The sequence below is a fragment of the Homo sapiens genome, chromosome 1, assembly GCF_000001405.40.
Source record: "Homo sapiens chromosome 1, GRCh38.p14 Primary Assembly".
NCBI classification, from domain to species: domain Eukaryota; kingdom Metazoa; phylum Chordata; class Mammalia; order Primates; family Hominidae; genus Homo; species Homo sapiens.
Window position 1 is genome coordinate 23,926,085 of NC_000001.11, and position 12,126 is coordinate 23,938,210.

A 12,126-nucleotide genomic window follows, 5' to 3' on the forward strand; every position below is an offset into this window, starting at 1 on the left:
TTCCTGCCTCAGCCTCCCGAGTAGCTGGGATTATAGGCTGGGATTACACCAAACCCAACTAATTTTTGTATTTTTAGTAGAGATGGGGTTTTGCCATGTTGGCCAGGCTGGTCTCGAACTCCTGACCTCAGGTGATCCACCGGTCTTGGCCTCCCAAAGTGCTGGGATTACAGTGCTGGGATTACAGCGTGAGCCACCGCGCCTGGCCCCCTGACTCATTTAGTATTTCTCCAAAGCATTTATCATCACATGACACCTACTGTATATTTCTTTTCTTTTCTTTTTTTTTTTTTTTTGAGACAGTCTCGCTCTGTCCCCCAGGCTGGAGTGCAGTGGCGCAATCTCGGCTCACTGCAAGCTCCGCCTCCCGGGTTCACACTATTCTCCTGCCTCAGCCTCTGGAGTAACTGGGACTACAGGTGCATGCCATCACGCCCGGCTAACTTTTTGTATTTTTAATAGAGACAGGGTTTCACAGTGTTAGCCAGGATGGTCTCGATCTCCTGACCTTGTGATCCGCTGGCCTTGGCCTCCCAAAGTGCTGGGATTATAGGCATGAGTCACCGTGCCCAGCCAACACCTGTTGTATATTTCATTTGTTCATTTTTCTGTTCCTCCTTCCTAAAATATAAACTTCATAACAGCAGGGATCTATATCTATTTTGGTCACTTCTACGTCCCCTGTGTCTAGAACAGTGTTTGGTACATCCCCAAAATTAGGTGTTCAACATCCATTAGGTGCTCAACTAATATTTGTTGAATGAATAAATGAATAGACGAATGAAGTAGGTGAGTCTCAGAAAAGTTAAACAAAGCAACTTATCCAATATTATCCAGCCATCAAGTGGCACAGATGGAATTCAAACCTAGAATTGGGACAGGCTTGGAGTCAATCCATTTAACCACTAAACCATAATTGTCTCATTCATGCAACAAATATTCACTGAGATCCTAATCCCTGAAGGACACTGTTCTAGGCACTGGGGATATAGCGGGGATGAAAACAGACAAAATCCTTGCCCTTGTGGTGCTTGCTTCTTAGTATTGTCCCATATGAAAAGAGATGTAGTTTTGTAAGATTGGGATGCAAGGCCCATGTGCCAACATACCTGGTTATGTATCAGTGGCAGACATAACTAATGGATCAAGACCCTTAATCCTGCCCAGCCCAGATTCTGCTCATGATCTTTCTCAACTCAGCACTCCATGCTGACACTCAGCTGACTGGAGTTGGCACCAAAATAACCCCTGTTGGTCATGTGTGAATAGGTGTTGTCTCCTCAATAAGGGCATGAATCCCAACCCTGCACTGTGTGGCCAGAACCCCTGGGACCACAAGTGGAAGTTCCATAGCTGGCACAGGACTTGGGGTTCCTTCCCACTGGCCCCAGACAGTGTTTCCCTCGTTCCTTTCCCCAGCCCCTCTGACCAGTCCTGGGGGCATGAAGAGCACAGAGCTTAGCCAAGGTACAAACTCAAAAGCCTTGAAGGCAGCCAGGTTATGCTGATCCTGGGAGGGCAGGCTGGTTAAGGAACGGGCATAGGCTCTGGAATGGATAGTTATGGGTTCAAATCATGGGTTCTCGACTCATTCACATGACTTTGGGCAAGTCACTGCACCATTCTGAACCTTAGCTTCCTCATGTGTTAAATACGGGGATTATGCATTTACTTCAAAGGGTTGACCTGAATATTAGATGAAATAATCTATATAAGGGGCCTGCCTTAGTGTTTGGAGAGCAACAGGTACTCAACAAATGTTGGATGAGGGAACAAATGAGTACCTGAGTGACTGCATGAATGAGTGTTCTGGCAGGAAAGGTAGACACAAAAGCATACCTGGTGGGTTGTATTTTCCAAAGATAACCTGAGAAGACGTTTGAGACCATTTCAACCAGTAGAGTATGTCAGAGTGATAATTTTTTTTTTTTTTTTTTGAGAAGGAGTCTCACTCTGTTGCCCAGGCTGGAGCGCAGTGGCGTGATCTGGGCTCACTGCAAGCTCCGCCTCCCGGGTTCACGCCATTCTCCTGCCTCAGCCTCCCGAGTAGCTGGGACTACAGACGCGCGCCACCCACGCCCGGCTAAGTTTTTTGTATTTTCAGTAGAGACGGGGTTTCACCGTGTTAGCCAGGATGGTCTTGATCTCCTGACCTCGTGATCTGCCCGCCTCGGCCTCCCAGAGTGCTGGGATTACAGGCGTGAGCCACTGCGCCTGGCCCGCTCTGAGAGTAAATGAAGGCAGAGCTATGCCCATCCAGCTCCGTTCACCATTCACCACCAGCAACCACATGAGAGACCCCAAGTCAGACCACACAGGCAATCCCTTTCTGAATTCCTGACCCTCTGAAACCTTGAAAGATGATGAAATGATTCTTGTTGCTTTAAGCCACTAAATTTTGGGGCAATTACTCTTCAATAGCAGAATTTGTACAGTGTGTTTGGGAACACAGAAGAGGGATCAATCAAAAGAAATTGAACATTCAGCTGGGCACAGTGGCTCACACCTGTAATCCCAACAGGGAGGCCAGGCAGGTGGATCACGTGAGGTCAGGAGATTGAGACCAGCCTGGCCAACATGGCGAAACCATGTCTCTACTAAAAATACAAAAATTAGCTGGGCGTGGGGTGGCGTGCACCTGTAATCCCAGCTACTCAGGAAGCTGAGGCTGGAGAATCGCTTGAACTCGAAAGACAGAGGTTGCAGTGAGCCGAGATCACGCCACTGCACACCAACCTAGGTGACACAGTGAGACTCCATCTCAAAAAAAAAAAAAAAAAGGTGTTGAACATTCAATGTAAAGAAAGAAATTACACTAATACATTGAGTAGGATACCCAATAAATTGAGTTGCTGTTGAAAATAATCCTTAGACGAAGGCTTTCACATATAGCAGCTCAAAGAAAGTCTCCATTCCATGTTATCTTAGGAAACCTCTCTGGAGCTCCACTCCTCCCACTTCCTGCTCTTCCTCCCCAGCCCCTGGGTCAGGTCCTGGACTCCCATAGTTTTCAGGCTGCTAAACAACAGAACGAGCACTGGACTTGGAGCCAGAAGTCTTGGGCTCAAGCCCTGCCCTTACTGCTTACTAGCTGAATAATTCTGGGCAAATCAGTTGGACCAGTTACACCTCAGCCTTCTCATTTAGGAAATGGAGATGTCACAACTGCTAATTCATTGAATGCTCTGTATGAACTGACCACTAAACCCTTTAAATTGACCACTTCACTTAATCTGCATAACCACCCAACAAGATAAGGAATATTATTACTATTATTATTATTATTATTATTATTATTTGAGACAGGGTCTTGCTTTGTCACCCAGCCTGGAGTACAGTGGCACGATCACTGCTCACTGCAGCCTAGACCTCCTGGGCTCAAGTGATCCTCCCACCTCAGCCTCCAAGTAGCTGGGACTACAGACGTGTGCCACCACACCCAGCTAATTTTTGTATTTTTTGTAGAGATGAGGTTTTGCCATGTTGCCCAGGCTGGTCTTGAACTCCTGGGCTCAAGTGATCCTCCCGACTTGGCCTCCCAAAGTGCTGGGATTACAGGCATGAGCCACTTGTGCTGGGCCAACAGGAAATATTATCTTCATTTTCCCAATGGGGAAACTGTCCCAGAGATGTTAAGTAACTTGCCCAGAGTTATGCATCGTCTGCACGGCAGAGCTGGGATTCAACACTAGGCTGCCTTGCTCCAGAGCTTGTGCTCTTAACACTGTGCTGTCCCCGCGGGGGTGGGTGAAACTCTCAGGACAGCTTGTGAGAGTGTAGAAAAGGGCTTCTGTAAATGAAAGGAGTGCATGTGCAGAGGGGAGGAAACTTTATTTATTTATTTGAGATAGAGTCTCACTCTGTCACCCAGGCTGGAGTGCAATGGCACGATCTCGGCTCACCGCAACCTCCACCTCCCGGGTTCAAGCGATTCTCCTGCCTCAGGCTCCTGAATAGCTGGGGTTACAGGCGTGCGCCACCACACCTGGCTAATTTTGTATTTTTAGTAGAGATGGGGTTTCTCCATGTTGGTCAAGCTGGTTCCGAACTCCCGACCTCAGGTGATCCACCTGCCTCAGCCTCCCAGAGTGCTGGGATTATAGGTGTGAGCCACTGCACCCGGCCGAAAACTTTTTCTTTTTTTTGAGATATGTTCTCACTCTGGTTGTTGCCCAGGCTGGAGTGCAGTGGCGCAACCACAGCTCACTGCAGCCTCGACCTCCCGGGCTCAAGTGATCCTCCCACCTCCCACCTCAGCCTCCCAAGTAGCTGGGACTACAGGCTTGAGCCACCATACCCTGCTTTTTTTTTTTTTTTTTTTTTTTTTTTTGTAGAGACTGTGTTTGGCACATGTTTATGGTTACTTGCAACTCCCTGATAGCATCTGGCCTGTTCTGCCTTATAGCAGACATAGTTGCTCCTATTTCTGGGTCTTCCTGTTAAAGCTCCTTAAGGGCAAGCCCCACGTCTTATTCCTCTCTGCACCCTCACAGCATCCCATCCAGTGCCAAGGACTGAGTTGGGATTCAGAAAAAAAAAATATTTGAATGGAGTGGATTCCTCTATTAAGCCGAAACACTAAGACAATTATACCTGCTCATAAAAACATAATGAGAACAAGAACCTTTAAGAACACATTCTAGGCCAGGCGCAGTGGCTCATACCCGTAATCCCAGCACTTTGGGAGGCTGAGGCAGGTGGATCACCTGAGGTCAGGAGTTCGAGACCAGCCTGGCCAACATGGTGAAACCCCATCTCTACTAAAAATACAAAATATTAGCTGGGGCTGGTGGCGGATGCCTGTAATCCCAGCTACTCAGGAGGCTGAGGCTGGGGAATCACTTGAACCTGGAAGGCGGAGGTTGCAGTGAGCTGAGGTTGCGCCACTGCACTCCAGCCTACGCAACAAGAGCGAAACTCTGTCTCAAAAAATAAAAAAAAGAACACCTCTAAAAATTCTCAGCATTCCTGAAACGTTTCTAATGCCAGCTTTCTATTCTGGGTTTTAAACCCAAACCAACATGTTCTTTCTTCAGAGTTTGCAGATGTGGTCACAAAAGAAGGGGGAAAAGAGGAGAAGAGAATCTTTATAACTCATTCAGACACTCCCTGACACGTTCCTCAGGGTAAGAAGGAGGTTGTCTCTTCACCAGTGTTAGAATCTGGCTGGGGAGGAGGTGCAGATGGAGTTATTTGAAAGCAGAACTTTCTTAGGAGAAGAGGCTCTGTGGAAACTTGTTTTCACCGAGTTCTCTCATGTGTGACGTGAATCAGAAGCTCTAGGAGATGTCTGAGAGAGATTTTTACGTTATGAGGCAGCTGCTTATGAAATTAGGTCCAGAAGCTTCCTTCGAGCCAAGCTTCTTCTTATAGAAGCTGGAGAACATAAATAGTTTCCATTGCAGCAAGAAGAAAAATTCTTCAGTATGTTTATGGGTTTGTCCTTTCTTTTCCACAGTGGGTAGCAAACTTCTATAACAAGTTGGCATTGAACTAAAATAGGATTTCTCAAATTCATTTGACTAATACTAAATTCAGCTGAGAGCGCTTATTCTTCTACTCATGAGCAGTCATCTGAGACTTTTGCAAATCATCAAGCTAAGCTCTAAATGATAACCAGCAACATTTCCCATTCATCTGAGACATGGAAGTAATTATGTGTGCATAGGCAGTGTAAGGGTTAAAAGCACAGCTTTGGAGTTGGACAGACTGGGTTTGAATCCCAGCTGGAGGGCCATGGGTAAATTGTTTAATCTCTTTAAACCTCAATTTCCTCTGTTACAAATCAGGCATAGTAATATTTCTGATTCCCAGGGCTGTTGTGAAGATTATACGAGTATATACACATATGACTTACTATATTAAGTACTCAGTAAATGTTAGCTATTGTAGCCTGGGCGCGGTGGCTCACGCCTGTAATCCCAGCACTTTGGGAGGCCAAGGTGGGCAGATCACCAGGTCAGGAGATTGAGACCATCCTGGCTAACATGGTGAAACCCCGTCTCTACTAAAAACACACACACACACACACACACACACACACACACAAATTAGCTGGGCGTGGTGGCGGGCGCCTGTAATCCCAGCTACTCAGGAGGCTGAGGCAGGAGAATGGTGTGAACCTGGGAGGCGGAGCTTGCAGTGAGCCGAGATTGCGCCACTGCACTCCATGCTGGGTGACAGAGTGAGACTCTATCTCAAAAAAAAAAAAAAAAGTTAGCTATTGTAGTAGGCAGCCCCTAAAATATCTTGCAGTAATTTCTGCCTCCCTGTATTCAAATCCTTTGGGTAATCTCCCCTCCTTGAGTGTGGGGATTAGTGATTAGCGTCTAACAAATAGCATATAGCAAAAGTGATGGCATATTAGGGACCTCGAAAAGCCAAAACAATTGAAAAAGACCAAAGTTGGAAGTCTCACACTTCCTGCTTTCAAAACTTACTACAAACTGCAGTATCAAAAACAGCGGGAACTAGCATAAAGACAGACATACAGATCAATGGAACAGAGCTGCCAAGACCATTGAATGGAAAAGGATGATAACTTTTCAACAAATGGGGCTGGGAAAACTGCATGTTCACGTGCCAAAGAACGAAGTGAGGCCCTCACCTACATCATATACAAAGATTAACTTAAAAATGGGATCCCTTGAGCCCAGGAGTTCGAGGTTACAGTGAGCTATGATTGTATCGCTGCACTCCAACCTAGGCGGCAGAGTGAGACTCTGTCTCTAAAAAAATAAAAATAAAAAATTAACTCTTAAAACTGATCAAATATCTAAATGTAAGTGATAAAACCATAACGTGCAAGAAAGTATAGGACAAATGCTTCATGACAGTGGATTTGACAATCATTTCTTGGCTATGACAACCAAAAACACAGGCAACAAAAGAACAAAACAGACAAGACTTCATCAAATTTAAAAACTTTTCTAAATCAAAGGATAGTATCAACAGTTTCTCAAAAGGCAACCTAGGGAATGGGAGGACATAGTTGCAAATCATATAACTGATGAAAGATTGTCTAGGGAGAAACTCTCCTAACACTGGGTTTTTCCTCTACTCTCACACCACAATGATCAACTACACAGAAGAAAACTTCTGTGACTAAGGGAGGAGACCACCCCTCATCTTGTCTTATGCCCAATTTCTGCCTCCAATGAAAGAAGAAGTACAAACTCAAAGGCAGAAATGAAATCCACAGGCAGACAGCCCGGCGCCGAGCCCTGGGCCTGGTTAAAGATGGACCCCTGACCTAAACCAGTTATGTTATCTATAGATTACAGACATTGTATGGAAAAGCACTGTGAAAATCCCTGTCCTGCTCTGTTCCGTTCTGATTACTGGTGCATGCAGCCCCCAGTCATGTACCCCCTGCTTGCTCAATCCATCATGACCCTCTCATGCGGACCCCCTTAGAGTTGTAAGCCCTTAAGAGGGACAGGAATTGCTTACTTGGGGAGCTTGGTTGTTGGAGACGTGAGTCTGGCCGAAGCTCCCGGCCGAATAAAGCCCTTCCTTCTTTAACTCAGTGTCTGAGGGGTTTTGTCTGCGGCTTGTCCTGCTACATAACCAAACGTGTGTGCATCTCTCCCTACCACCAACCAGCAGACACCAGCCAGGTGGCCTCCAATTCAGGTCTGACACTATCTACCCAGAGACAGTGCCAGATCCCACAGGTTGAGGGTTCAGTCCCCAAGACTGCTCCCTCCTTCTCCACTCTCCCAGTCACAAGTCTGGGCCTCCAGAACTTCTGACCGACTGGCTTCAAGCTGGGGTTCCCCCAGCCTCCTCTTTGGATTCGATTAATTTGCTAGAGTGGCTCACAGAACTCAGAGAAACACTTACATTTACTGGTTTACTAAGAAAGCTATGTTAAAGGAAACAGATAACCAGCCAGATGAGGGGATACATAGGGTGAGGTCTGGAAGGGGCCCAAGCGCAGGAGCTTCTGGCCCTGTGGAGTTGGGGTGCGCCACCCTCCCAGCACCTGGACCAGTTTTTCTTCCCCTTCCTGCTGGCTTCCACGTGTTCAGCTATCTGGAAGCTCTCTTGACCTAGTCAATCTTGGGTTTTTATGGAAGCTTCATGATATTAGCATTCTTTCCCACAGGGTATAGAGTGGGACCCTCTCATCGGAGAGTCTTAAGACTCCAAGTCCTGCCTTGGGGCAGATGAAAGGAGGCAGCGGAAGGTCAGAGACCTGCCCCTGAGGCCTAATGCATCCAACATTATAACAAAAGACTCTAGCCTTCATAAACAATTGTTGGTGTTCGCAATGGGAAAGATATAATGGGAATGGACAAGGGAGCTTTTTAAAATACATTTATTTATTTATTTTTTGAGATGGAGTCTTGCTCTGTCACCCAGGCTGGAGTGCATTGGTGCAATCTCGGCTCACTGCAACCTCTGCCTCCTGGGTTCAAGTGATTCTCCTGCCTCAGTCTCCCGAGGACCTGGGATTACCGGCACCCATCACTGCACCCAGGTAATTTTTGTATTTTTAATAGAGACAGAGTTTTGCTATGTTGGCCAGGCTGGTCTCGAACTGCTGACCTCAGGTGATCCGCCTACTTTGGCCTCCCAAAGTGCTGGGATTACAGGCATGAGCCACTGCACCTGACCTGTTCTATCAGTCTTAAGATCTGTTTTAATGTTAATGCTGGTCAGCTGTGTCTGAATTCCAAAAGGGAGGAGGGAATAACGAGGCATGTCCAACTCCCCCTTCCCATCATGGCCTGAACTAATTTTTCAGGTTAACTTTGGAATGCTCTTGGTTGAGAGGAGGATCCATTCAGATGGTTGGGGGACTTACAATTTTATTTTTCATTTGCAAAATATACCAATTTTCATAATCCCATTGAAACTACCTTTGCCCTCTCCCTCTCCCTCCCCCTCCCCCTCCCCCTCCCCACAGTCTCCCTCTCCCTCTCTTTCCAAGGTCTCCCTCTGATGCCGAGCTGAAGCTGGACTGTACTGCTGCCATCTCGGCTCACTGCAACCTCCCTGCCTGATTCTCCTGCCTCAGCCTGCCTAGTGCCTAGTCACGCGCCGCCACGCCTGACTGGTTTTCGTATTTTTTTGGTGGAGACGAGTTTCCCTGTGTTGGCCGTGCCAGTCTCCAGCTCCTAACCACGAGTGATCCGCCAGCCTCGGCCTACGGAGGTGCTGGGATTGCAGACGGAGCCTCGTTCACTCAGTGCTCAATGGTGCCCAGGCTGGAGTGCAGTGGCGTGATCTCGGCTCGCTACAACATCCACCTCCCAGCCGCCTGCCTTGGCCTCCCAAAGTGCCGAGATTGCAGCCTCTGCCCGCCCGCCACCCGGTCTGGGAAGTGAGGAGCGTCTCTGCCTGGCCGCCCATCGTCTGGGATGTGAGGAGCCCATCTGCCTGGCTGCCCAGTCTGGAAAGTGAGGAGCGTCTCTGCCCGGCCGCCATCCCATCTAGGAAGTGAGGAGCGCCTCTTCCCGGCCGCCATCACATCTAGGAAGTGAGGAGCGTCTCTGCCCGGCCGCCCATCGTCTGAGATGTGGGGAGCGCCTCTGCCCCACCGCCCCGTCTGGGATGTGAGGAGCGCCTCTGCCCGGCCGCCCCGTCTGAGAAGTGAGGAGACCCTCTGCCTGGCAACCGCCCCGTCTGAGAAGTGAGGAGCCTCTCCGCCCGGCAGCCACCCGGTCTGGGAAGTGAGGAGCGTCTCCGCCCGGCAGCCACCCCGTCCGGGAGGGAGGTGGGGGGGTCAGCCCCCCGCCCGGCCAGCCACCCCGTCCGGGAGGGAGGTGGGGGGTCAGCCCCCGCCCGGCCAGCCGCCCCGTCCGAGAGGGAGGTGGGGGGCGCCTCTGCCCGGCCGCCCCTTCTGGGAAGTGAGGAGCCCCTCTGCCAGGCCACCACCCTGTCTGGGAGGTGTACCCAGCAGCTCATTGAGAACGGGCCATGATGACAATGGCGGTTTTGTGGAATGGAAAGGGGGGAAAGGTGGGGAAAAGATTGAGAAATCGGATGGTTGCCGTGTCTGTGTAGAAGGAAGTAGACATGGGAGACTTTTCATTTTGTTCTGTACTAAGAGAAATTCTTCTGCCTTGGGATCCTGTTGATCTGTGACCTTACCCCCAACCCTGTGCTCTCTGAAACATGTGCTGTGTCCACTCAGGGTTAAATGGATTAAGGGCGGTGCAAGATGTGCTTTGTTAAACAGATGCTTGAAGGCAGCATGCTCTTTAAGAGTCATCACCACTCCCTAATCTCAAGTACCCAGGGACACAAACACTGCGGAAGGCCGCAGGGTCCTCTGCCTAGGAAAACCAGAGACCTTTGTTCACTTGTTTATCTGCTGACCTTCCCTCCACTATTGTCCTATGACCCTGCCAAATCCCCCTCTGGGAGAAACACCCAAGAATGATCAATAAAAAAATAAATAAATAAATAAAATAAAATAAAATAAAAAGAGAAACTACCTTTGCAAAAATTATAACAGTAAGAAAATCATGGCAGTAAAAGAGATCTGATCTAATCCACACCCATCTTGCCTTTCCCTTAATTATTCCTGGGCTTTGGGGCTGAGCTAACTTTGAGAGACATTTAGTTTATACTTTAAATGATAATAGGCCTTCCCCAAAACTCAACTGTCTTTGTTAAGCCAATGAAAGGTCATCAGGCTGTGGGAGGAGAGGAATCTGAATTCTGCTAAGGTGAAGAAATTGTTTAATTGCCAGCCACTCCTGCAGGTAACACCACTATTGTAGATTGGCCTTTTGAGTATCTTTTCAGTTTTTGGAAGTCTGAAACCAATGGCTCCACCCGTACCTGGCTCTGCCTCTACCCACCGACATTGCTCCTGTGGTCCCACTCAGAAGTAGTTCAGCACTCAGGACAGCTTCCACCCCCTATGATTTCATCTCTGTCCCAACCAATCAGCAGCAAGCCTAGCCACCGCAGCCCTTCCTCGAAAGTGCCTTTGGAAAACTCCTAAACTACCAGCTTTGGATGAGATTTATTTGAGTCCTAATTCTGTCTGTCACATTGTGTGACCGGCCTCATGTCTATTGTACTCTTTCGTTACTGCAATGCTGTGGTCTTTGTTTATGCAGCAGGCAGGAAGAATCCATTGGGTGGTTACATCATTAACCCTTACATTTTTATGTTCTAGTTTCAGAAAATTCTCTTCTCTACCCCCGGACCATATTGGGGGAACCCACCCTCAATATTTCAACATAGGTTCTTTCTATTTTCCATAAGTGTAGGCCGGCTGAGAAATAAAGAGAGACAGTACAAAGAGAGGAATTTTACAGCTAGGCTGCTGGAGGTGACATCACATATCAGTAGGACCGTGATGCCTGCCTAAGTCTCAGACCAGCAAGTTTTTATTAAGGGTTTCAAAAGGGGAGGGGGTGTAAGAACAGGGAGTAGGTACAAAGATCACATGCTTCAAAGGGCAAAAAGCAGAACCACTAATAAGGGTCTAACAAAGATCACGTGCTTCTGAGGGAACAGCTAGAATTACCATATGATCCAGAAATTTCACTTCTGGGCGTACACCCCAAAGAATTGACAGCAGGGACTAGAACAGCCTGTGAATACCTATGTTCGTAGCAGCCTTATTCACAATAGCCAAAAAGGGGAAACAACTCAAATGTCTGTTGACAGATCAATGGATAAACAAAATGGGAATATACATACAATGGAATATTATTCTGCCTGAAAAAGGAAGACAATTCTTTTTTTTTCTTTTTTTTCTTTTTTTTTTTTTTTGAGATGGAGTCTTGCTCAGTTGCCCAGGCTGGAGTGCAGTGGCGCAATCTCGGCTCACTGCAAGCTCCACCTCCCAGGTTCACGCCATTCTCCTGCTTCAGCCTCCCGAGTAGCTGGGACTACAGGCGCCCGCCACCATGTCCGGCTAATTTTTTTTTGTATTTTTAATAGAGATGGGGTTTCACCGTGTTAGCCAGGATGGTCTTGATCTCCTGACCTCGTGATCCGCCCGCCGCAGCCTCCCAAAGTGCTGGGATTACAGGCGTGAGCCACTGTGCCTGGCCAAAAGGAAGACAATTCTAACATATGCTACAACATGAAGGAACTTTGAAAACATTATGGTCAGTAAATTAAATAAGCTACAAGACACAAGAGGACAAATAT

The 12,126-nt window shown here is 47.8% G+C and overlaps 1 non-coding gene across 1 annotated transcript; it reads left to right on the plus strand.

Annotated features, from left to right (window-relative positions):
- Nucleotides 1–2,985: 2,985 nt before the first annotated feature.
- MIR378F (microRNA 378f) lies at nucleotides 2,986–3,063 on the plus strand. Its single transcript, NR_039615.1, has one exon. It is a non-coding gene; the product is annotated as a microRNA 378f (primary transcript).
- Nucleotides 3,064–12,126: the final 9,063 nt, after the last annotated feature.